The 26,830-nt window shown below is 43.2% G+C and overlaps 1 protein-coding gene and 1 long non-coding RNA gene across 3 annotated transcripts, besides 1 other annotated feature; both read right to left on the minus strand.

Moving 5' to 3' along the window:
• Window positions 620-833: a silencer, noted in NCBI's record as "fragment chr12:31919651-31919864 (GRCh37/hg19 assembly coordinates)". NCBI's record gives its function as "represses an EF-1alpha promoter that drives an FKBP-Casp9 reporter gene in an ReSE screen in K562 erythroleukemia cells {active_cell/tissue: K562}" and the evidence as "EXISTENCE:reporter gene assay evidence [ECO:0000049][PMID:32094911]".
• On the minus strand, window positions 12,965-20,010 carry LOC107984470 (uncharacterized). 2 transcript variants are annotated; one of them, XR_001749064.3, is made up of 3 exons: window positions 19,781-20,010; window positions 14,019-14,335; window positions 12,965-13,089 (listed from the first exon to the last, which is right to left on the minus strand). It is a non-coding gene; the product is annotated as an uncharacterized LOC107984470 (long non-coding RNA). The 2 variants fall into 2 exon arrangements; XR_001749065.3 differs by having other exon boundaries at window positions 14,013-14,335.
• Window positions 20,011-25,087: 5,077 nt separating this feature from the next.
• Window positions 25,088-26,201, minus strand: H3-5 (H3.5 histone). Its single transcript, NM_001013699.3, has one exon. The coding sequence runs from the start codon at window positions 26,067-26,069 to the stop codon at window positions 25,662-25,664; it is 408 nt and encodes a 135-aa protein (NP_001013721.2). The 5' UTR covers window positions 26,070-26,201; the 3' UTR covers window positions 25,088-25,661.
• Window positions 26,202-26,830: the final 629 nt, after the last annotated feature.

The raw sequence follows: 26,830 nt of genomic DNA on the forward strand, positions 1-26,830 counted from the left end.
AGGATGAGGAGTGACTAATAATGGCTACGGAGTTTCACTTTGGGATGATAAAAATGTTTTGAAACTAGTGGTGATGGTTGTACAACCTTGTGACTACACTAAAAATCACTGACCTACACACTTTAAAATGGTGAAATTTATTTGTGCTTGAATTATATCTCAAAAATATGGTTAAGTTTTAAGTTTATTATAACAGAATTAAACTTTTAGAAAAGGGAAAAAATGGTTTTACAGGGAAAGGATGTGGTAATTTTATAAATTATTTCTAGATGATAGGATTATATACATGGAAAAACCTGAGAGAAAAACACAAAATTTTATAGATCATAAGAGAATTCAGGTGGACTAGCATGACATTAACAGTCAAAATCAATCATTTTCATATATACAAACAATAAGCAGTTCAAAAACATCTATTTACAATAGCAACAGAAAAATAATTTCTGGGAATAATCTAACAATAAATGTGCAAAATCTAAACGAAGAAAACTTTAAACTCGCTACTAAAGGAAATAAAAGATGGTTTGCAGCCAGGCGTGGTGGCTCACACCTGTAATCTCAACACTTTGGGAGGCCAACGTGGGTGGATCACTTGAGCTCAGAAGTTTGGGACCAGCCTGGCCAACATGGTGAAACCCTGTCTCTACAAAAAATACAAAAATTAGCCGGGCGTTACTGGCTTGAGCCTTTAGTCCCAGCTACTCATGAGGCTGAGGTGGAAGGATGGCTTCAGACCAGAAAGCAGATGTTGCAGTAAGCCAAGCCTGTGCCACTGCACTCCAGTCTGGGCAACAGAGCCAGACTGTCTCAAAAAAAGAGAAGGTTTGAACAAATAAAAAGGCATAACTTGATAATATAGGATGCTTCAACATGATAAAACTTCAATTCTTTCTAAATTAATTTATAATAACTCCTCTCCCAAATTCTAAGGATTTTTTTAAAAAAAAGACAGGCTGATTTGAAAGTTCAAACAGAAAAAAATAAAAATTCAACGTACGTTTGATGAAGAAGGGAAATGATAGAAAACTAGTCAAAACGAAGAGGAAAGCCTAAATTGACATTTGTACAAAGCTATTTATTAAAATCTTCTTTGTAATTAAGAAAACAGTCTTTGTATCCATTCAAGAATTCTCTGCAGCTATGAAAAAGAATGAAGCTGTTCTTTGTCTACTGATATGGAAAGTGTCCTAGGCCAGGTATGGTGGTTCATGCCTGTAATCCCAGCACTTTGGGAGGCTAAGGCAGGCAGAATACTGGAGGTCAGAAATTCAAGACCAGCCTGGCCAACATGGTAAAACCCCACCTCTACTAAAAATTAAAAGAAAGAGGAGGGGAGGGAGAGAAAGAGGCTGGGTGCGGTGGGTGGCTTACACCTGTAATCCCAGCACTTCAGGAGGCCAAGGCGGGCAGATCACTTGAGGTCAGGAATTTGAGACCAGCCTGGCCAACATAGTGAAACCCCATCTCTACTAAAAATCCAAAAAAAAAAAAAAATTAGCCAGGCATGGTGGTGTGTGCCTGTAATCCCAGCTACTTGGGAGGCGGAGGCTGGAGAATCACTTGAACCCAGGAGGCAGAGATTGCAGTGAGCCGAGATCACACCATTGCACTCCAGGCTGAGCAACAGCAAGACTCCATCTCAACAAAAAAAAAAAAGAGAGAGAGAGAGAGAGTCCTAGACAAGAGAGAGAAAGAGAGAAAATGAAAGAAAGAGAGAGAGAAGGAAGGAAGGAAGGAAGGAAGAAAGGAAGGAAGGAAGGAAGGAGGGAGGGAGGGAGGGAGAGAGGGAGAGGGAAGGAAGGAAGGAAGGAAGGGAGGGAGGGAGGGAGGGAGAGAGAAGGAAGGAAGGAGAGAAGGAAGGAAGGAAAAAAAAGAAAGAGTCCTAGATGAGAGAGAGAGAGAGTCCTAGATGAGAGACAGTGAAAGCAAGAAAGAAAGAAAGGAAGAGAGAAAGAAAGAGTCCTAGATGAGAGAGAGAGAGAGAAAGAGAGAAGGGAAGGGAGGGAGGGAGGGAGGAGAGTCCTAGACCAGGGGTCCCCAATCCTACTGGTCTGTGGCTTGTCAGGAAGTGGACCCCACAGCAGGTGGTGAGCAGTGAGCAAGCAAGCAGAGCTTCATCTGTATTTACAGCTGCTCCCCATCACTCACATTACCACCTGAGCTCCACCTTCTGTCAGATCAGCGGTGGCACTAGATTATCATAGGAGCATGAACCCTATCATGACCAGAGCATTCAGGAATCTAGGTTGAGTGTCCTTATGAGAATCTAATGCCCGATGATCTGTTACTGTCTCCCATCACCCCCATATGGGACCATCTTATTGCAGGAAAACAAGCTCAGGGCTCCCACTGATTCCACATTATGGCAAGTTGTATAATTGTTTCATTATATATTACAATATAATAATGATAGAAATAAAGTGCACAATAAATGTAATGCGCTTGAATCATCCTGAAACCATCCCTCCCCACCCTGATTCATGGAAAATTGTCTTCCACAAAACCAGTCCCTAGTGTCAAAAAAGTAGGAGACCATTGTCCTAGATATACTGTTTCATGGAACAAGTAAGGTGCAGAAAAGTGTATAGCTTATGTTGCTTGTGTAAAAAAGAGCAAAATGGGCCGGGTGTGGTGGCTCATGCCTGTAATCCTAGCACTTTGGCAGGCCAAGACGGGCAGATCACGAGGTCAGGAGATCAAGACCATCCTGGCTGACACGGTGAAACCCCATCTCTACTAAAAATACAAAAAATTAGCCAGGCATGGTGGCATGCACCTGTGGTCCCAGCTACTCGGGAGGCTGAGGCAGGAGAATGGCGTGAACCCAGGAGGTGGAGGTTGCAGTGAGCTGAGATCGTGCCACTGCACTCCAGCCTGGGTGACAAAGCAAGACTCCGTCTCAAAAAAAAAAAAAAAAAGGCGGGGGGCAAAATGTGTGTGTATTTGTGTATGTGTGTGTGTTTTCTTGTATACTGTAAAATATCTCTGTAAGGGGATACACATGCTGATCAATACTGGCTTAGGGGATGTGGTTAGGGGGAGACCTTATACTGTTTATCTTTAACCTTTTTCAATTTTGAGTCTTATGAAAGTCACATCTAATTTAAAAGTAAATAATGGACCGGGTACAGTGGCTCACACTTGTAATCCCACACTTTGGGAGGCCAAGAGGGGAGGATTGCTCTAGCCCAGGAGTTCAAGACAACCCTGGACAACATGGTAAGATCCTATCTCTACAAAAAATTTTAAAATTAGCAGGGCATGGTGGCACACTCCTGAGGTTCCAGGTATTCAGGAGGCTGAGGTGAGAGGATAGAGTGAACTTGGGAGGTCAAGGCTGCAGTGAACCATGATCTCACCACTGTACTCCAGCCTGGGCAAGAGTGAGACCCTGTCTCAAAAAAATAAAAATAAATGATACACTGAAAATATAGCAGAATTTCTGTAAAAAAAATTTTTTTTGAGATGGAGTCTCACTCTGTTGGAGTGCAGTGGTGTGATCTTAGCTCACTGCAAGCTCCACCTCCCAGGTTCACACCATTCTCCTGCCTCAGCCTCCCGAGTAGCTGGGACTACAGGTACCCACCACCACGCTCAGCTAATTTTTTGTATTTTTAGTAGAGATGGGGTTTCACTGTGTTAGCCAGGATGGTCTTGGTCTCCTGACCTCGTGATCCACCCACCTCGGCCTCCCAAAGTGCTGGGATTACAGGCATGAGCCACCGCACCCAGCCAAAAATAATTCTTAATCTTAATTTCACATTGATAAAATGTATTTGAACAAAATTATTATACTTCTTTATTTTTTTCCTCTGAAATGGCCAAACTCTCTTGACTACTTGATAGACCACCAGCTGACTATTCTTTGAGCAAGGCTGTCCCAGAACTTTAAACATTCAGATGCCAGAGAGGCTACTACAGTTGGATCCAGTATCTGAACCCACATCTCTTTAGGACCACAAATTGTATTCTTATACCAGAGATTAAGTGGGATCTTATTAGAGAAATTCCTAATTCTTAATTCAATTAGTCAGTATTTGCTGGAAACCTATTATTTAATATTATCTGTTATACAGAGATTAGTGTATCCTGGCTGCTGTTCTCAAGAAGCTCACAAGCATGCTGAAGTTACTAAACTATATCCAATTACATAAAATAGGTTCTAAAGGCCCCAGCAACTATGGCAGTTGGTTAAAATAGATTTATTATAACACCCCGTGCCTAAGTATACATCTGAAAGGATACACACAACTTTTTATTTTTATTTTATTTTTTTGAGACAGGGTCTCACTCTGTCGACCAGGCTGGGGTGCAGTGGTGCAATGTCAGCTCCCTGCAGCCTCCACCTTCTGGGTTTAAGCAATTCTCCTGCCTCAGCCTCCTCAGTAGCTGGGACTACAGGTGTGTGCCACCACGCCTGGCTAGAATTATTAATAGCAATTACATCTGTTGGATGGGATTGCTAGAAAGGAGACAAGGGGAAGACTTTTACTTTTTTAAATATTTCAAATATGAAGATGGTGGGATCATGAAGGATTTTATTCATTTTTAGCATTTTTGTTTTTCAAATAAAAACATAGGAAAAAATCAAGAGTTTCAAACCAATACATAAAGTTATTTCTTCACATAATTAAAACAAATTATCATATACCACTTTCCTACCTCCCTTCATTGAATAGTACAAAACTTGGTACTCTGCTTTTATCTACTAGATATTCTGTATTTGCCTTGACCCTTGTTAAATGAAGTCTCCCTTTGTTTAGGAAAAATATACAGTATATCAAAGGATGAGATCACCAACCCAAAGCTATGCTGATTAGTCTTGTTGAACAAAGAAAATACAGGCTTTGGCTGGGTATGGTGGCTCATGCCTGTAATCCCAGCACTTTGGGAGGCTGAGGCAGGTGGATCATGAGGTCAGGAGATCGATACCATCCTGGCTAACACGGTGAAACCCCATCTCTACTAAAAATACAAAAAAATTAACTGAGTCTGGTGGCGGGCACCTGTAGTCCCAGCTACTCAGGAGGCTGAGGCAGGAGAATGGCGTGAACCCAGGAGGTAGAGCTTGCAGTGAGCCGAGATTGCACCACTGCACTCCAGCCTGGGCAACAGAGCGAGACTCCGTCTCAAAAAACATATAGGCTTTATGGGAAGGGTTTGTTATGGGGTGTATTGGTTACTGAGGCAGGAGTAGTTTGGAAAATCAGTCATAAAAGCATGGGTTACAGAAGTTCATTTTCTGTTACCTAGATGTGTTTGCTGAAGGAGCTATCACTGATCAATTACAACAGGTTTAAAACAAGCATTGGTGTTTAGTTGGTACCATGCTATAAAAATTTCAGTCTCGGCTGGGCACAGTGGCTCACACCTGTAATCCCAGTACTTTGGGAGGCTGTGGCGGGTGGATCACCTGAGGTCACGAGTTCAAAACCAGCCTGGCCAACATGGTGAAACCCCGTCTCTACCAAAAAATACTAAAATTACCTGGGCATGGTGGTACATGCCTGTAGTCCCAGCAACTCGGGAGGCTGAAGCAGGAGAATCGCTTGAACCCAGGAGGCGGAGGTTGCAGTGAGCCCAGATCACGCCACTGTACTCCAGCCTAGGTGACAGAGTGAGACTCTGTTTAAAAAAAAAAAAAATCAGTCTTTTTCTAGGTTTGTGGGGATTTTTTTTAAATTCTAAAAACGAAGGCCGGTCGCGGTGGCTCACGCCTATAATCCCAGCACTTTGGGAGGCCAAGGTGGGCGGATCATGAGGTCAGGAGATCGAGACCATCCTGGCTAACACAGTGAAACCCCATCTCTACTAAAAACACAAAAAAATTAGCCAGGTGTGGTGGTAGGCGCCTGTAGTCCCAGCTACTTGGGAGGCTGAGGCAGGAGAATGGCGTGAACCCGGGAGGTGGAGCTTGCAGTGAGCTGAGATAGCACCACTGCACTCCAGCCTGGGCAACAGAGTGAGACTCCATCTCAAAAAAAAAAAAAAAAAAAAAAAGTTCCATCTTTTTTTGCTTGGTCTTGATTTTAAAAACTAGAGGAATCTTGCACTGAAAATTTTAATTTCTTTTGACCTATCATAATTTTATATTAAAAGGTCATAATATAGTGTATTAATTTTCTCTTCCGCTGTAACAAATTACCACAAATTTAGTCACTTAACACAATACAAATTTATCATCTTATGATTCAGTATATTAGAAATCTGACACAGGTCTCACTAGACTAAAAACCAAGATACTGGAAGAGCTGAATTCCTTCTTGAGGCTCTAGGGAAGAATCTGTTTCCTTTCTTTTTCCAGCTTCTAGAGGTTACCCACATTCCTTGGCTCACAGCCCCTTTTCTCCTTCTTCAAAGCGAGCAACAAACGTTTCTCTGACCCTACTTCTGTTGTCATATCTCTTTCTCTGACAACCCCTTCGTCCTCCCTCTTTCAGTTGTAAGGACCTTTACAATTACCTTGAGCCTGCCTGGAGGATCAAGGATACTCTTCCTACCTTGAGGGCCTTAATTTAGTCACACCTGCAAAATCCCTCTTGCCATGTAAGTTAACATATTTGCAGGTCACAAGGATTAGGACACGAACATGTTTAGGGGACCTTTATTCTTCCTACCACACGTGGAAATTGAATTTATAAATATATCCGTTAGAATTGCACTTGACCGCTTAAACAAGTAAGGGATCTCTCTGTCTCCTATAGCAGGAAATCTGGGAACGGGAAGCTCAAGGCTGATTGTGATGGCCTCAACAATGCCAGCAAGGAAACTGACCCCTAGTGTCCTGATCACTACCATGCTTAGCAATGACTGCTGAGCCTCAGGCATCCTCACCGGTTCCAGGCAGGAAAAAAGAAATGGAAGAGGCAGTACCAGCAAAATTCAGCTTACATTTTGTTAGCCAGAATTGAGTCATGGGACCACCCCTAGCTACAAGGAAATCTGAGAAGGGAAGTTTTTAGCTTTCCTCCTTCTCTAAAGAAGGAAGGAAAATTGAAATAAGAGTTGGAATGAGTGACAGGTGAGCTAACCTACAGAATTGACTACAAGTAAGTGATTGAACAAACAACTTTAATAATCCAATTATTGAAGGGCAGGACTCAGGTGTAGGAATTTAGTGGACTATTTGCTATACATGTTACTCAATATCTGTTAGTCCTAAGATCAAAATTGATTTTTAAAAAAAAGACTCACAAGTCACAGTTTACTTAGCCTTAAAAGGTACACGGTAAACAATGCACACAGCTAAACAGCAGAGACCTTCTGATGTCTGGCAATGCTGGGTGCAGCTTCCATGCCCCTCCACCACACAGCATGCTCAGCTGCAAGAGGTGAGGCTGAAGCGTGTGCAGAAGACTTGACCTCTGGGCAGCCACCCTTTCCATTCTCTACCTATGTGTAGTCCATGCTTGCTGCATAGCCTCTGGGAGAAAGTGCTAAATCACATGCCTAACAGGGCAGCTGCAACTCATCAATCAGGGGTTTCACAATGAATGCTTCTGTAAGCCAGGGGCAATCTGACCTGCTAACATTCCAAGTTTATCTTGTATCAATACATTCTGGGGAGCAGAGTGGCAAGAAGGTAAATCTAAGGTCATATCCCCAGGGTCCCTGGGTCTGGGGCAAAAGTTTAGACCAGCCAAAAATTCCTTCCTTGGTGGGCTAATATATTTATCTTTCTTTCTTCCTCTTGAATTCAGAGTATCTTTCTTCCTCTTGAATTCAGAGTATCTTTCTTCCTCTTGAATTCAGAATCAATTGAGAGAAATACAGGAGTCAGGATAAGTGAGCATCAAAATATCACCTTAATAAAGTCAACTGGAAGATGTGGCCAAGTGGGCAGGCTCACACTTTCCCCAGACATCCCCGCCTGGTTGCTGGCACAGCTGAACAACACAGGCTTCTCAGCAAAGGCAGGGTCATAGGAAGCAGATCCACTCCCTGTAACACACAGGTCTAGAAAGGTGGAGGAAGGGCTGAGCTCAGTCTGTTCTTACTAACTCACATGTCTGACTGCTCACTCCTATTTCCCTGGGGAGGGGCGAATGAGGAACAGGGAGATACTCAGTGATTCTCAGCCAATCTCACAGTTCAAAGCCACCCAGGGAACCAATGTGCAGTGAGGTAGAAAGCCACTCACCTACCTGAAGTTGCTGCATCTGGAAACATAAGAGATGGAGATACTGTTCTTCCCCATAACTCAGAAGATTCATTTTAACTACGCTCTACTTTTCTCATAAATGGCAAATTTCCTCTGAGATAGTTTCCTTTTTTTATTTTTATTTTTGAGATGGAGTCTTGCTCTGTCGCCCAGGCTGGAGTGCAATGGCACGATCTCAGCTCATTGCAACCTCCGCCTCCTGGGTTCAAGCAGTTCTCCTGCCTCAGCCTCCCGAGTAGCTGGGATTACAGGTGCCTGCCACCACGCCTGGCTAATTTTTTGTATTTTTAGTAGAGAGAGGGTATCATCGTGTTAGCCAGGATGGTCTCCATCTCCTGACCTTGTGATCTGCCCGCCTCAGCCTCCCAAAGTGCTGGGATTACAGGCATGAGCCATCGTGCCCGGCCTTTCAATTCTTTTAATACAAAGCAAATGAAAACACCTGTTTTCAATTTCTTTTACCAGTCAGGCTATCTTTTGGAACCTAAGACAGTTTGCCTCTAGGTTTCTGCTAGCACTCTTGTTTGAGGGCATTCCCTGGAGTCATAAAGGGCAGTTCTTTGGGAAGAAGGGATGGGAAGAAAAAATAATGTCAGTTCATAAAATAATCTTCAGACATTCTTATTTATAAATGCCATCATCAATAGAGTTTTCATTTTTCCTTTGCTCAACAAAAAGCTATCAAGTATCTTGAGTAGCTGTTTTTTGTTTTTTGTTTTAATAGTTATGACAGGGACCAGCACGGTGGCTCAAGCCTGTAATCCCAGCACTTTGGGAGGCTGAGGTGGGCAGATCGCCTGAGGTCGGGAGTTCGAGACCAGCCTGGCCAACATGGAGAAACCCTGTCTCTACTAAAAATACAAAATTTAGCCAGATTTGGTGTTGCATGCCTGTCATCCCAGCTACTTGGGAGGCTAAGGCAGGAGAACTGCTTGAACCCGGTAGGCGGAGGTTGAAATGAGCTGAGATTGTGCCATTGCACTCCAGCCTGGGCGACAGAGCAAGACATCCCAGCTACTTGGGAGTCTGTGGCAGGAGAATTGCTTGACTCGGGAGGCAAAGATTGCAGTAAGCTGAGATCACACCACTGCACTCCAGCCTGGGAGTCGGAGGGAGACTCTGTCCCAGATTTAAAAAAAAAAAAAAAAAAAGGCTATGGTAATGACCTGTCTCCCTCTTGCTTAAGTTTTTTCTTTCTTTCTTTCTTTCTTTCTTTCTTTCTTTCTTTCTTTCTTTCTTTCTTTCTTTCTTTCTTTTTTAATCTATCTTTCTTTCTTTCTCTCTCTCTCTCTCTCTTTATATTTTTATTTTCCAGAGTCTCCAACCCAGGTTGGAGTGCAGTGGTGTGATTATAGCTCACTGCAGCCTCAACCTCCTGGGATCGGGATCAAGGGATGCTCCCACCTCAGCTTCCCGAGGAGCTGGAACTACAGGTGCACACCACCATGCCCAGCTAATTTTTTATTTTTTATAGAGACGGGGGTCTCCCTATGTTGCCCAGGCTAGTCTTCAACTCCTGGGCTCAAGCAATCCTCCAGCCTCAGCTTCCCAAAGCGTTGGGATTACAGATGTAAACCACTGCACCTGGCCTGAGTTTTCAGTAAACCAAATAATTAATGTAATTCTGACTGTATTAGAACCTAAAGCACATTTTCTGGCTATGGGTCCCCAAGCAGAGCAGGAGGCCTGACCAGTTCATGGATTCCCTGCACCGGGTCTGGCAGAAAGTCACAGAACTCGTTGTATTAGGTCTCCCCTCAGGTACTTGAAGATACAGTCTTCATATCTCTTCAATATTCCAGGGGAGGGGACCCTACTTGTTTTCAAGATACTGACTTTTCATGTTAATAGCAATGCTCCCATAGATATTATATTGCATCCCAGAACTTTTCAAATCTGTAGTTCCACCTAAAATTTTATCTAGTGAATTGTTACTTACTGCCTAGGTGCCAACCAGTACAGCAGTGCGTCTTCATCTTACTTAGACTTCAGAGCCTCCCACTGGCTGTAATGGATGAGCATGCACCCAAGCTCCCCTTCCACCACTCTGCTTGCTGGCATATGAGAGTGCTCTCCTCTGCAGGGTCCTGAATCTTGATTCTCATTGGCTACTAATATGTAATGGCTTTTGCTCAGTGCTGTTGTGACAATCACCCTGTTGGCCTTCTGTGTCTAGGAAGAATTACAGTCACTACCCTAACGAGCTCAGAGTCTCAATTTGCAGAAGGCCTGTCATTGAACATAAAATGAATTTTGAGCCATTGAGAAGACTTTCTGCTTTTCTTGAGCCAGTGGTTGAACAGTGTAATCCCAGGTGTGCCTGTAATCCTTGGTCTTTGGGAGGCCAAGGCGAGAGGATCACTTAAGGCCAGGAGTTTGAGACCAGCCTGGGCAACATGGGAAAACCCCATCTCTACCAAAAATACAAAAAAAATTAGCTGGGCGTGGTGGCGCACAGCTGTAGTCCCAGCTATTCAGGAGGCTGAGATGGAAGGATGGTTTGAGCCCAAGAGGCAGACATTGCAGCGAGCTTAGATTGTGTCACTGCACTCCAGTCAGGGCAACAAAGCCAGACCCCGTCTCATAAAAATGGCTGGGCATAGTGGGTCATGCCTATAATCCTAGCACTTTGAGAGACTAAGGCAGGAGGATTGCTTGAGGCCAGTAGTTAGAGACCTGTGTGGCTAACTTAGTGAGACCCTGTCTGTTTTGTTTTTTTTTTTTTTGGAGACAGAGTCTTGCCTTGTCACCCAGGCTGGAGTGCAGCGGTGGGATCTTGGCTCACTGCAACCTTTGCCTCCTGAGTTCAAGTGATTCTCCTGCCTCAGCCTCCTGAGGGGCTGGGACTACAGGTGTATACCACCACTCCCAGCTAATTTTTGTATTTTTAGTAAAGATGGTGTGTCACCATGTTGGCCAGGCTGGTCTTGAACTACTGACCTCAGGGGACCTTCCCACCTTGGCCTCCCAAAGTGTTGGGATTACAGGCATGAGCCACCATGCCCGGCTCCCATCTGTATTTTCAAAAAAAATAAATAAATAAATGACAGTATGGCCTATTCTATTCTATTCTATTCTATTCTATTCTATTCTATTCTATTCATTTGAGACAGGGTCTTGCTCTGTCGCCCAGACTGGAATGCAGTGGCGTGAACATACCTCACTGCAGCCTCAATCTCCTGGGTATAAGTGATCCTCCTATCTCAGCCTCTAGAGTAGCTGGAACTATAGGCATGTCCCACCGTGCCGGGCTAATTTAATTTAAAAACTTTTTTTACACAGACAGGGTCTCGCTATATTTCCCAGGCTGGTCTCAAACTTCTGGGCTAAAGCCTCAGCCTCCCAAAGTGCTGGGATTATAGGAGTGAGCCACTGTACCTGGCTCTATTTTATTTATTTATTTATTTATTTTATTTTATTTATTATTATTTTTTTTTGAGACGGAGTCTGGCTCTGTCATCCAGGCTGGAGTGCAGTGGTGCGATCTCAGCTCACTACAAGCTCCGCCACCCAGGTTCACGCCATTCTGCTGCCTCAGCCTTCCGAGTAGCTGAGACTACAGGCGCCTGCTACCACGCCCAGCTAATTTTTTGTATTTTTAGTACAGACGGGGTTTCACCATGTTGGTCTGGCTGGTCTTGATCTCCTGACCTCGTGATCCTCCTGCCTCGGCCTCCCAAAGTGCTGGGATTACAGACATGAGCCACCGCGCCCGGCCCTGGTTCTATTTTAAATAAATAAATACATGAAACTAAAACACAATTGGAACTTTATTTGCTCTTTGATGACCCTTCATAGCACCTCAATTTCTCATGGCATGCCTCTTGCTTGGTTTACATCATAGAATTTCTGGCATAATAGGCCGGGCATGGTGGCTTACGCCTGTAATCCTAGCACGTTGGGAGGCCAAGGCGGGTGGGTCACCTGAGGTCAGGAGTTCGAGACCAGCCTGGCCAACATGGTGAAACCCCAACTCTACTAAAAATACAAAAATTAGCCAGGAGTGGTGGTGGGCACCTGTAGTCCCAGCTACTTGGGAAGCTGAGGCAGGAGAATTGCTTGAACCTGGGCACAGAGGTTGCAGTAAGCCAAGATCACGCCACTTCACTCCAGCCTGGGCAAAAGGGCGAAACTCCATCTCAAAAAATATAATAATAATTTCTGGCATAATCTCAGAAGATTCGGCCAGGCATAATGGCTCACTCCTGTAATCCCAGCATTTTGGGAGGCCGAGGCAGGCGAATCACTTGAGGTCAGGAGTTCGAGTCCAGCCTGGCCAACATGGTGAAACAATGTCTCAAAAAGAGGGAGACTCTGTCTCAAAAAAAAAAAAAAATCTCAGAAGATTCTTAGAAATTTCTTACCACTGTTAAAAGAAAAAAACTTCAGCTGAGTTAAATGTAAAGAAGTTTAGCTAAACAATGAACAATTTGCGAATAGGGCAACCCCCAGAATCACAGCAGATTCGTAGTGAATCCAGCGTAGCTACCTGGTGGAAGAAGATTTATGGACAGCAAAATGAAAGTGACGAACAGAAAACAGAAGTGAAGTACAGAAACAACTGGATTGGTTACAGCTTGGCATTTGCCTTACTTGAACACAGTTTGAACATTTGGCTACATTTGATTGGCCAAAACTCAGTGATTGGCACGGATGTGGGCTGTATACCTCCACTTTTTACAGTTCATGATGTACAGAAAAACCTGTAGGCCAAACTTAAACATGTGAGAAGGCAGCTTTAAGCTAAACTTGATTTAAACCCACCTTGTCTCAGTTCTCCTGGTTTCCAAATTATCTTCTGGCCTCATTTTCTTCCCTAGCTCAGAAATATAGTGACTATCCATCACTATTTCCAGCATTAACGCCTTCAAATCTCTTAGTCTTCTGTTTCACTTGTGCTATAATCATCCAGACGACAACAGACCTAGCTAAAGAACATATAACATTAGGTTTCACATCTGACAAATATGTGATCTGCAGTGGACATATGCTCATTTTTGCTCACCATTATCCAGCCTCCTTTCTTTGGCAAAACCATCTTAATCTGCACCATGCTGTATTCCAGTCTTGGAGGCAGCTCCCCAACTAAGAATATGCCTCTAGCTAAGCCAGACAGTGTCTCCCCACCATCCCCTCTCTCTGGAATTGGACTCTGGGGTGGAGTGATCCAAAGATATTAAGCAATATACAGGCAGCTATGTCCTAAATAATCAATCTATTCATTTCTACTACTGAGGCCTGTGAAATGCTTTGGTTTTGTTTTTTACATATTGGTTCATTAACCTCCCCCTTTGTTTTGCCCCTCTTGTTTCCACATATTTTTCCAATGAAATCCCTTTTATCTTGTGATAAAAGTGATTTGCTGTTGTTTGCAACTACAAAACCCTAACTAGCGGTGGCAGCTTGTATTAGTGATTTAAATCCTGCATAATCAGGAAAATTATATTTACATATTAAGATGTCATGAGGAGCAAATGTGAAAAGAAACTCAAGGGGTCTAGTATGCAATAGCCACAATAAATCCATGCCCTCTAAAATCAGGTGAACCTCCAACACAGCTTGGCAGTCTTTTTATTTGGTCTGGGCCATCTGCTTCACCAAATCCCCTCGGAGGGTTTTACAAACATTTACAATTTTCTTCAGGCTGCCCACTCTATCTCTACCTCAATCTCAACAGCCTGTCTGGAATGTTACAGGTGAACATCAAGGAGATAGAGATACCATGTTTGCAGAATCTCAGAAGGCTTTTTTGATCTTGTGATTCATGCCAGGGTCATGATGTCTTAAAACTAGGTTTGCAAGAATACACTTTTGAAAAAACACATTAGGACATTGATTAGAATCGCCTTACCAATACCTGCATCCTATAAGTGTTTTGCAATACTCAGAGTGGCTCAGTGGAGTGAGTGAGGTTGTAATCCGAGCTGCTACTGAAATTCTTCTTTATAATTTGATAGTGTTGGACTTGAAGGTCCCATCTGGTTACACAGTAATTTACCACTTTACTGTGGGTTCTGGTACGCCAAAGAAGGCAGTACTCTCCAGTCTTTGTTTAAACAACTCTAGGATCAGAATGTTCCTGGTTTGTCCTGGTACCAGAGACACTGTTTGAAATTGTTTGTGTCTTCTTTTCAGTCAATCATTCAAACGTTCAAACATCGAGATTACATGCATCTACAAAAAATGTATGTATGTCTTAATTATGAAAGCATTCTCAACATACCAAACTACAAACATATCAGCCATAAATTTCTGCAATCTCAATATATATAAAGTAGCACTATGAGATGAAAGAATGTTGATCAACTTGAAAAGATAGTTTTGGGGTATCCAGAACCAAAGCCTCCAACCTTTCTCATTGATTTCTGGATAAGGAGGCCTCCTTTATGTATTTTTTCTTTTTACCCTCTTTCTTTCCCTTCCTTCCTCCCTGCCTTTATAAAGCTACCTAAACAATCTAGGACTAGCATTAAGTTTGTTGGACATGGCATTTTTCTCAGTACAAATATTTCAATTTTTCTTCCTGTTTAAAAATTAATTTTATTATATTTATTTTTAAATTTATTTATTTATCTATTTGAGATGGATTCTCGCTCTGTTGCCCAGGCTGGAGTGCAGTGGTGCAATCTCGGCTCACTACAACCTCCACCTCCTGGGTTCAAGCTATTCTCCTGCCTCAGCCTCCCGAGTAATTGGGATTACAGGTGTAAACCACCATGTCTGGCTAATATTTTGTATTTTTAGTAGAAATGGGGGGGTCTCACCATGTTGGCCAAGCTGGTCTTGAGCTCCTGACCTCAAGTGATCCGCCTGCCTTGGCTTCCCAAAGTGCTGGGATTACAGGTGTGAGCCACCATGGCTGTCCCCTGAATTTTTTTTTTTTTTTTTTTTTGAGACGAAGTCTCGCTCTTGTCCCCTAGGCTGGAGCATAATGGCGCGATCTCGGCTCACTGCAATCTCCACCTCCTGGGTTCAAGCGATTCTCCTGTCTCAGCCTCCCCAAGTAGCTGGGATTACAGGCACCTGACACCACGCCTGGCTAATTTTTGTATTTTTAGTAGAGACGGGGTTTCACCATGTTGGCCAGGTTGGTCTCAAACTCCTGACCTCAGGTGATCCGCCTGCCTCGGACTCCCAAAGTGCTGGGATTACACGCCTGAGCCACCGCGTCAGGCCGAAAATTTTTAACGTTTAGAAACCCACGTTTCTAGCAGAGCGTGGTGGCACACATCTGTAGTCCCAGCACTTTGACTGGGTGAGGCTGGTGGATCGCTTGAGCCCAAGAGCTTGATACCAACCTGGGCAATACAGTGAGACCTCACCTCTATAGTTGAAAGAAAGAAAAAAAGAAGGGCAGGGTAGGGCAGCGGAGGGGAGGGGAGGGGAAGGCAGGGGAGGGGAGGGATGTTTCCTTGGATGAAATGTGTTTCTTCTTGTGGTCCCCGACCAGTTTTAAACTTTAGAACTGTGGCACTACTAACTGGCTTCTAGGCAGCCTCTTCCACTTAGATGGGTTTGAAGTACAGAAATGATTTCATCAGCCTGACCATTGAGGCTCTAGAGATTCAAGCATGTGGAGAAGTTCTGAGTGCTCAATCTCAATGCCAATCATTTCACTGGTGAAAATAAGGTTCATAGCTTGAATAAGAGGAAACATCTATCCACCTGACATCAGGTTTTGTTCCTGATTAAGGATACATTTTGATACTGGAGTGCTGGAAAGGGAAGATTGTGGTCCCTTTAAACAATACAAAAGGGAGGAAGGGAAGTGCTGGATAGAGAAAGGTGTGGTCCCTGCCTAGGGCTCCACCCCCACGGACCTAGGTGAGGACAGGCATTTCCGGCCCAAATGTTGCATTTCCCAAGACCATCCTGGCCTGCCACGCCCCCATCCTGGGCCTGTAAAAACCAGAGACCCTGGCAGGCAGACACAGTGGCTGGACATTGTGAGGAAGGCGTTGGTGGAAGAAGATGCAAGTGGCTGGTCGTTGAAAGGAGCACACCAGGAGAAAAGCATATCAGCAGGCACCAGCATACCAGCAGGCACCAGCACGTCGGCAGGCCATCGACTGGTGGGACGCCACCGGCAGGCGGGAGGAGGTGCAGTTTGGCCGGGACAGTCGGAGGAGAGCCAGGGCTGCCCAGTGGCCCAACTCCAGGGGAAGACTATCTCCCTTCTGGCTCCTCCATCGGCTGAGAGCTGCTCCCGCTCAGTAAAACTTTGCACTCATTTTCCAAGTCCACGTGTGATCCGAGTCTTCCACTACACCAAGGCAAGAACCCGGGATACAGAAAGCTCTCTGTCCTTGCAACAAGGTAGAGGGTCTAATTGAGCTGGTTAACACAAGACGGTAAACTAAAAGCATCCTGTAACATGCCCACTGGGGCTTCAGGAGCCGTAAACATTCACCCCTAGACACTGCCGTGGGGTCGGAGCCCCACAGCCTGCCTGTCTGTATGCTCCCCTAGAGGTCTGAGCAGCCAGGCACTGAAGAAGTGAGCCACACCCCCATTGCATGCTCTGCGAGGGGGACAGGGAAACTTTACCGCTTCAATATCGACTTGCAAGTGAAAACAGTTTCTGATATTGTATGTGTATGAGCAGGCTACTGCTGCATGTAGCTTGTGATTGGGCCTAATGATGTTATTCCATAATTATAATATTTAGTGCATAATTATTGCATTATATGCAAATGTTGTACTGCATTATGAACTCTTGCTCACAGCACAGTTACATCATAGAAATGTGGGGACAATAGCTGCAGGATGTAGAGTGTCTATGCTAGAGACACCCTGGGGGACACAGCTCTTAGAACTTGGTTTCATAACATTGGTTTAGGAGAAATTTAGGTCTGAAATCTAGAGCATTCCAGGGAGGAGTTGGTCTTGAACAATTTGCGTAGGAGTGGATTTGGTAAGGTTCTGAGTCTTGGGATAGGCACCATGAAGTATCTGAAGAAGGTGCTGGCAGACAGAAGTGGATTATGAGGCTGGGCGCAGCTCTTTTATATTTTCTGCATAAACTGGTAATTAGGGTGAGCCTTCTGCTTTTATGATGAGCTAAAACTATAAATAATGGTTTGGTGCACATATCAGTGGCGTCCTCTGAAAAAAAAGGGAAACTTTTGCTGTTTCCACATTCCATCTTGCCTTTGCCCTAGGGATTGTACCAAATAGATGCAACTCATTTTGGAGTTACATACTTTTTAAAATATTTGTTCGTTTATTTATTTGTAGAGATGGAGTCACCCTCTGTTGCCCAGACTGGTCTGGAACTCCTGGCCCGAAGTGATCCTCCCACCTCAGCCTCCAAAAGTGTTAGGATTATAGGGATGAGCCACCACATCCGGCCTGGAATACTGTTATTAAAAAATGTTTCTATTCCTAATCAAAAGCTCCCAGAAGTAATCAATCCCCTCAAACAGAACCAACACAGCTATCAGTTGGGAAACCTGTGGGACTTTCAGACTCTTGAGCAAGGAATTGGATATAATAATGGAACTAAAAAAAGAGAACAAATCTAGGAATTTGCATTTTGAAGTCATCAGCATACAGATGGCAGCTAAGGGCAATGACATAGAAAAAGAAAGGGAGAGTGTTTAGAATAAGAAAAAAGAGATGAGGACTAAATTGTCAAAAATACCAACATTTATAGAGAGCTAAAGGAAGAAGGTCAGCAGTGGATAAAAGCCAGGGAAGAATGGTGTCACACTAGTCAAGGCAAAAGAGAGTCAAGGAAAACAAGAAGTATAGAGTGAAACCTCAGAATATAGTTTCAGAGTATCCAGAACCAAGATAGGAGAACTAGTAAAGAGGAATTAGTTAAACTGTAAGAGCAAGAGGGTAATGGATGCAGCAAAGTTCCTGAAGAGATGGGAGAAGATCATAAAGAATACAAGGGAAGTTTGGTAGTCAGCCTCCAAGATGGCCACCAATGATCCTTCCTCCTGGTAGTCATGCCCTTTTGTCAGCCCCTCCCACAATGGTCTGAGTGACTAATTGAATGTGGCAGAAATGGCACTATGTCATTTCTGAGATTAGGTTATAAAATATACTGTGGCTTCTGTCTTGGTGACTTTCGCTTGCTTTCTCTCTCTTCCCTGATCATTTGCTCTGGGGGAAGCCAGCTGCCATCTGTGGGGAAGCACATATGGTGAGGAACTAAGGCTTCTTGCCAACAACCGTGTGAGGGAGCTTGGAAGGGAATCCTCCAGTTCAGTTAAGCCTTCAGACAATGGCAGCCCTGGTTGACATCTGGCTGTAACTCTCATGAGACATTCTGAGCCAGAACCACTCTGCCATGTTGCTCCCAGATTCCTCAAATCCGAAATGGTGTGAGGTAATAGACATTTGTTGTTTTAAGCTGTGAAGTCTGGGTAATTTGTTATATAGAAATAGATAATACAGGAGGGATTGGCTTTGAACAGGAAGGTAGACTGCTTCCTCTGAGAAGTTACCATGTAGGGTCATTTTTGTAAAATCTTGTTCTTCAAGTTTACCCTTTATTGCTTAGGCTTGGTATCTTAAAATATTTCAAATTCTAAGTTACAACTAGACTTAAGCCATTTTTATTGCTCATCAAAAAATATTTTAGGCTGGATGTAGTGGCTCACGCCTAACATCCCAGCACTTAGGGAGGCTGAGGTGGAAGGATTGCTTGAGGCCAGGAGTTCAAGACTAGCCTGGGCAACATAGCAAAATTCCCTCTCTCCAAAATACATATATTTATTTAAATATATGTCTTTAAATAAATATATGTTTACATGAATGTATATATTTATATATAAATACATATATAAAATTAGAATTTCCTACTTTTTGTAACATCCTCAAAGTTGGCTATAATACCTATTTTCTTAGCTGATATCCATTTAATCATTCATTTGATAAATATTTATTGTATGTGACATTAGTATTAACTTTATAGAAAGCAATGCTGCTTTTAAAGTGATTAGTAGGGTGATAAATGAGCTATTTGCTAGTATATCCAAGTTATCTAGTAAGAAGGGTTTACTGAGCAAAGAAGTATGGGTAATAGCATAAAAGTATAAACAAATACCCAAACAGTATACATGAGAAGTTAATCATCTTGTCAGAAGAAAATGATACATACAAAAAACCCAAGCATGTGTGAAGAACAGTGTGAGAATGTATCCAGCCAAAATTATATTCAAAGTAAAAATCATGTGTGCATGACGAACTGTATAGCATGAGTTAAAACAAATGAATACCCCTGATCACAGAACAATGAGAAATTCCTGCAGCAAGTGAGCATAACTGCCAAATAGGATAATATAAAAGAAGTATGAAGGGAAAACTAATTTTGAGCCTGTAACCATGTGGAACTGAAGCTAATTCTTCAAGTTCTGCTTCAGGTTATCAGGAACTGTGCTCCCGTAATTTAACCATTTATGATAAGTACAAGATTTTCACACAGAAAAAATTATTCTGCTGGTGGAATGTGAACTATTACATCAAACTTGTAAAATTTTCTATAATTTTCATTATTTATCTCAGACTTTGACTCTTGTATTCTTTTGAAGAAGGACTTGTGTGGAAACCATGGTGCAAAGTTTAAAATACCAAATGCGCGTTAAAGAAATTAGAGTTGTTAGCTACCTTCTGTTCTCCTTTGTTGTATTTTGGGTTTTACTGGGTACTGGAGCCGCTGTACCACATTGATAGCCTGAGGTTTGACCAGGTCATGGGGCTGGACAAAGGTGGTGAGTTGATGAACAGATCCAGCTGTCAGCACAGCAAGGAGATCCAATCCTGTGGGCCAAGGACAGTCCTCATGGTTTTCAATTAATCGTGTGTAAGAAAAATTGTACTACTTGAAAGACCTTGATTTAAATTCTTGCTTTACCATTTGATAACTCTGTGATACTGAGCAAGAGACTTTACCTCTGTGAGCCTTAATGTCTTCTCCACAAAATAGAGCTGAAAAAAATCTGCTGTAATTACATCCTGTTTTTCTTCTTAAAGGTCAAATGAGCCTGGCATCAAATATATGTGAAGCCATTTTTTTTTTTTAGATGGAGTTTCACTCTTGTCCAGGCTGGAGTGCAATGGCACGATCTTGGCTTACTGCAATCTCCACCTCCCTGGTTCAAGCAATTCTTCTGCCTCAGCCTCCCGAATATCTGGGATTACAGGCATGCGCCATCATGTCCAGCTAATTTTGTATTTTTAGTAGATGCAGGGTTTCACCATGTTGGTCAGCCTGGTCTCGAACTCCTGACCTCAGGTGATCCACTCGCCTCAGCCTCCCAAAGTGCTGGGATTATAGGCATGAGCCACTGTGCCAGGCCTATGTGAAGCCATCTTTTAAAACTTTACACTGCTATAAGCAGAATTTTTTCTTTTTTCTTTTCTTTTTTTTTTTCTTTTTTGAGACAGAGTCTCACTCTCACCCAAGCTGGAGTGCAGTGGCGCGATCTTGGCTCACTGCAACCTCTGCCTCCTTTTCAAGTGATTCTCATGTCTCAGCCTCCGCCGCCTGGGTTCACGCCATTCTCCCGCCTCAGCCTCCCGAGTAGCTGGGATTACAGGCATGCACCACCACACCCAGCTAATTTTTATATTTTAGTAGAGATGGGATTTCACCATGTTGGCTAGGCTGATCTGGAACTCCTGACCTCAGATGATCCAATCACCTCAGCCTCCTAAAGTGCTGGGATTACAGATGTGAGCCACCATGCCCGGCCTTAAACAGAATAATACTGTTATCATTCCGTTTTGCTTAAATCTTTATGTTCTTGGCAAAAGCTTAGATAGGCTTTAAGCTATGAATACAACTTGGGAAGGGCTAACAGCTAATTCCAAAAAAAGAGGCCGGGCGCAGTGGCTCACACCTGTAATCCCAGCGTCTTGGGAAGCCGAGGAGGGTAGATCACGAGATCAGAAGTTCAAGACCAGCCTGGCAGAGATGGTGAAACCCCATCTCTACTAAAAATACAAAAATTAGCTGGGCATGGTGGCAGGTGCCTGTAATCCCAGCTACTTGGGAGGCTGAGGCACAGAATTGCTTGAACCCGGGGGGTGGAGGTTGCAGTGAGCCAAGATCACGCCACTGCACTCCAGCCTGGGCGACAGAGCGAGACTCCATCTCAAAAAAAAAAAAAAAGGAAAACCATCTTTTCTAAAAATCATTAAAACAATTGAAGTTAGTTTTTGAATAAGAAAATAATGCCTAAAACAAATCTGTATCACTAGGCAACATTAAATCTTTATCTCCTCGAGATTACAAGGACTTTCTATTTAGTACACAAGGACCAATTTTTCCAAAACCAAAAAGCCAAGCCTGTTAGCACTTACTGTCACAAATGGTTACCACAAAAACAAAATAATGAAGGTTGAATTTATGGTTTCTGTAAAAGGGAAGCCTCTAGGATCTTTAAAAGTATTTTTTTCTATTTTTAAATATAACATTCATTGTAGAAAGTTTGGAAACATAGTACAAGGAAGAAAATTTTTATAACTTACAATCACATTGCTGAGGATAACATTTTGTTAATGTTTTTGCATAGTTTTTTTTCCAATTTTTGTCTTCCTCTTGTCTGCTTTTTTCTCACATTTTTTTTATTATGAGCAGTGCCATAGCATTACATAAGCTTTTTTCTTTTCTTTTTTTTTTTTTGAGACAGAGTCTCACTCTGTCACCCAGTCTGGAGTGCAGTGGCACAATCTCGGCTCACTGCAAGCTCCGCCGCCTGGGTTCACGCCATTCTCCCGCCTCAGCCTCCCGAGTAGCTGGGACTACAGGTGCCCGCCACCACATCCGGCTAATTTTTTGTATTTTTAGTAGAGATGGGATTTCACTGTGTTAGCCAGGATGGTCCCGATCTCCTGACCTCATGATCCGCCCACCTCGGCCTCCCAAAGTGCTGGGATTACAGAGGTGAGCCACTGCTCCCAGCGCTTTTTTCTTTTTTTTTAAGATGGTGTCTCACTTTATTGCCCAGGCTGGAGTGTAGTGGCTCGATCTCTGCTCACTGCAGCCTCTGCCTCCCAGGTTCAAGTGATTCTCCTGCCTCAGCCTCCCCAGTAGCTAGGATTACAGGCGCCCACTACCAAGCCTGGCTAATTTTTGTATTTTTAGTAGAGATAAGGTTTCGCCATGTTGGCCAGGTTGGTCTCGAACTCCTGACCTCAAGTGATCCGCCTGCCTCAGCCTCCCAACATGCGTGAGCCACCGTGCCCGGCCAGCATTACATAAGCTTTCAAAACATGATTTTTACTATCCTATCCTAAAAGTTTTTTTTTTTTTTTTTTTTTTTTGAGACTGAGTCTCACTCTGTTGACCAGGCTGGAGTGCAGTGGTGCGATCTTGGCTCACTACAAGCTCCGCCTCATGAGTTCACACCATTCTACTGCCTTGGCCTCCCGAGTAGCTGGGACTACAGGCATCCGCCACCACGCCCAGCTGATTTTTTGTGTTTTTGGTAGAGACGGGGTTTCACCATGTTAGCCAGGATGGTCTCCATCTCCTGACCTCATGATCTGCCTGCCTCGGCCTCCCAAAGTGCCGGGATTACAGGCGTGAGCCACCACACCCGGTCAAAAGATTATTTTTTAATCTGAAATTATTTCCAAGGTAAATATTTTTCTTCCAGGTATTTTCCTAAGGACCCAAGTTCAAAACCTTGCATTACTCTGGTCTCCCTTTCTTTTTTTTTTTTTTTTGTCTTATGAGAAATCAAGTCTGAATTGATTTGGTTCAGAATCAAACCTGAATCTGATCACTAAATTCTACTAATTCTTTTCTTTCTATGTCTATCCACATAGTTCTGGCCCGGCCAGGCCCCTGTTTCCTCAGCCCAGATTATTGAAGTACTTTTCTGACTTTTTTATTTCTTTGTAGCCTCTTTTCTCTATGGTAATCTATTTTACATATCTCTTTGCATCATTACCTTGACAAAAATATTGACTGCCTCTACCTTATATGGCAGAGGTCCCAAACTTGAGCTCCAAGGCTGAACATAGTCTGCAAATTTGTTTTTCTACAACTCCACAGTGCTCTGACCATTATTTTTAAATTTGCTGGAATCCTTTCAAAGGGCCCCAGGTTTCACTGATTTGTGTTACCTGCCTGGCGTCTAGGCTTCCAGGTATGGCTGAGTAGACTTTGCTTTTTTTTTTTTTTTTTTTTCTGAGACAGAGTCTTGCTCTGTCTCCCAGGCTGGAGTGCAATGGCACGATCTCGGCTCACTGCAACCTCCACCTCCTGGGTTCAAACGATTCTCCTGCCTCAGCCTCCTGAGTAGCTGGGATGACAGGCGCATGCCACCACGCCCAGCTAATTTTTGTATTTTAGTAGAGATGGGGTTTCACCATGTTGGCCAGGCTGGTCTCGAACTCCTGACCTTGTGATCTGCCTGCCTCGGCCTCCCAAAGTGCTGGGATTGCAGGCGAGAGCCACCACGTCCAGCCGACTTTGCATTTTATAACTCCAGAGGGCACTGTGCACATAACATAAAAAGTTGTGCAGTGCACAGCCTATACAATCTGCACAACTCTACCTGGTGGCCCTATGGGAGCCTATGGCCATTTAGTGTGAACTCTAGTCTGTAAAACGAATATCATGCCCACTATATCGACTAATCAAGCCCATCCTGTACCATAGTCTGGAAAAGGCTGACATTCCTAAAAGCTTTGCACTCTAAGATAAGCCACGAAAACCAGAAATATTTCAAAAGCTTTGAATTCCAAGATAAGCCGTGAAGTTATTTTTTATGCAAAAGACAGAAACATACTGTTTTTCTTTTTATCAAGACTGACCCCAAAGTTATCCAATCAGAATTGTTGACTAATATATAACAATCTGAGCTATCTCCTGACTTTGTGATTTTTTTTTTTTTTAGACAGTCTTGCTCTTGACACCCAGGCTGGAGTGCAATGGTGCGATTTCGGCTCACTGCAACCTCCACTTCCTGGGTTCAGGCAATTCTCCTGCCTCAGCCTTGACAGTAGCTGGGATTACAGGCGCCCACCACCACATCCAGCTAATTTTTGTATTTTTAATAGAGACGGGATTTCACCATGTTATAGTTCAAATACTTTTTTAAAAATTAGATGTGCTAGTTCTGTACTAACTTGTCTTTTTTTGCAAGTTAAAATGCTAGTCAGTTCTCAAATTTGTCTGTGAATTTTGCAGGATAGAGTATAAAATTCCTTAAATCCTAATTCCAAGCTCTTTACAATGTGGGCCCTACATCCCTAAAGTTTTCTCCTTTGCGTAAATACTACACTTGAGACAAACTAATTGTTTTCCCCCAACATAAACTTTATAGTTCTCTTCTGTTGCATTTCTACTCTCCAATATTTCTGATTCTTTTCCTCTCTTTTTTTTTTTTTGGATAAACAAGTTTATTTGTAAATTTAGTCAACATACATAATTGACCTAAAAACTTCAATAAGATAAATTTTAAAACCACTTGGAAGGCCATCTCTATAAAAATGATTTTCCCAGGACAGTAACCAGATGTAACCTAACCTAACACCATCTTAACCGGCAGAGGTTCAGTGGGCTAGAGCTTTGTGCTCCTCCCCTACACCAAGTTTTTATAATACAAATGCCACAAGAAAAAGAACTTCAGTACTGTTTCCTCTTAGCAGAGGAGAAAACTCAACCTAGTTATGAGACCAACCACACAACACAATGAAAAGCTGCACTAGTTCAGAATATTAGTTAACAGATGATGCTGGTGTGAATAACTCATATTTTTTTCTAGAGCCCTTATAAATAAAATCCCCCAGTTAGTGTTTCCATTATCAGCTAGAGGGTTAGTTAACATGTGGTAGAATGAGGATTTATGCAAGGTATAAATGCACATAGCATTTTACTACTATGAGAACAAGTGCAGTCAGAAGAAAACCAACTGGACTCTAAATTACACACACCTTAATGACAAGACTCCCCACCACTTGTGAATGTAAAACATTTAATTTGAAAATGTTGACACTACAATATATAAAATAGCTATTATAAATGCACATATTGTATTCTATAGCTGCCAGGTTTAATTTTTTTTTTTTAAAGGAAACTATAAGTTACACTGTGGTTAAGGTTTGTATCTTCACCCTTGAAAAAGCCTACATTCTATCACAGTGATGTATGGTCAGACTTAACAGCCCCAATTGTTAAACACTTGGATCAAGTCATAACCAGTTTTATTGCAAAAGGACCCTGTTGTACACATTTATCAATTCTAGTACCTTAATAGCTACCCAACAAGTCATTAACATACAGAAACATGCATCATGAGAAGCAAGAAATATCACGCATCCGTTTTGCATATTAACAACTTGTCACTCCTGAGCAACAGTGCTGACATCACTGAGGTCTGTAAACAGTCACTTTTCGCATTCATCCTGAGTGAAAGATGGAATGACTTAAGTACAAATGCAACATATAAACAATTTCTTACAAAAAAAGTCACCAATTAAACCAAAGTATTTTACAGAATTTACTACAAAATGCCATAAAAACTGCCTTCACTTAAGCTCTCTCTCCCCGTATCCGGCGAGCCAACTGGATGTCTTTGGGCATGATGGTGACTCTCTTAGCGTGGATGGCACACAGGTTAGTATCTTCCAACAGACCCACCAGGTACGCTTCGCTAGCCTCCTGCAGCGCACCGACGGCTGCGCTCTGAAACCTCAGGTCAGTGTTGAAATCCTGCGCGATCTCCCTCACCAACCTCTGGAAGGGCAGCTTCCGGATGAGCAGCTCGGTCGACTTCTGATAACGACGAATCTCTCGAAGCGCCACGGTCCCAGGCCTGTAGCGATGAGGCTTCACCCCGCAGGTAGAGGGGGTGCTTTTCCTGGCAGCTTTCGTGGCCAGCTGTTTGCGGGGGGCTTTCCCACCGGTGGATTTACGAGCAGTCTGCTTGGTTCGGGCCATTTTCTTTCACCCAACGCCGAAGTTTTAGGCCACTTCTCCGACCTCCGCGCTGCTTCCGCTGCCCGAGGAAGAGCCGCAGTCGCGAGCGAAGAACCGACACTGGTCCAACGAACGACCAAACCGCTCTGCGCCCTCCTCTCTTTTATCTGCATCCCTTCCATTCTTCAAAGCCCATTTCGGTGTTTCGTTTTTTGTTGTTGTTTTGTTTTTTGAGACGGAGTCTCGCTTTGTTGCCCAGGCTGGAGTGCAGTGGCGTGATTTCGGTTCACTACAACCTCCACCTCCCAGGTTCGAGCGATTCTCCTGCCTCAGCCTCCAGAGTAGCTGGGATTACAGGCGCCTGCCACCACACCTGGTTAATTTTTGTATTTTTAGTAGAGACGGAGTTTCACCATGTTGGCCAGGCTGGTCTCAAACTCCTGACCTCAGGTGATCCGCCCGCCGCAGCCTCCCAAATTACTGGGATTACAGGTGTGAGCCACTGCACCCGGCCTTTCAAAGCTCATTTCAATCCCACCTCCGTCACAAAGCATTCTTCAGCCACCTTCGTTTTCATCCTTTTTTTCTCTGCACTCTTTCTACCCTTATCATTTACTTGACACTATGCAAATTCTACATGTATATGTATTTCTCATTTATTTTTAGTAATTATCTTTTTTCTTATTATAAAAGTAATACTTGTCCAATTTAAAATACAAAAAATATAGAGAAACAAACTGAAATGTGGAATCACATGTGATAAACACACACACAAGTTGGCT

The sequence above is a fragment of the Homo sapiens genome, chromosome 12 (genome assembly GCF_000001405.40).
Source record: "Homo sapiens chromosome 12, GRCh38.p14 Primary Assembly".
NCBI classification, from domain to species: domain Eukaryota; kingdom Metazoa; phylum Chordata; class Mammalia; order Primates; family Hominidae; genus Homo; species Homo sapiens.

Bases quoted from the DNA above. Each gene is read 5' to 3' on its own strand.
- H3-5 (NM_001013699.3), bottom strand. From the start codon at position 26,069: ATGGCCCGAACCAAGCAGACTGCTCGTAAATCCACCGGTGGGAAAGCC.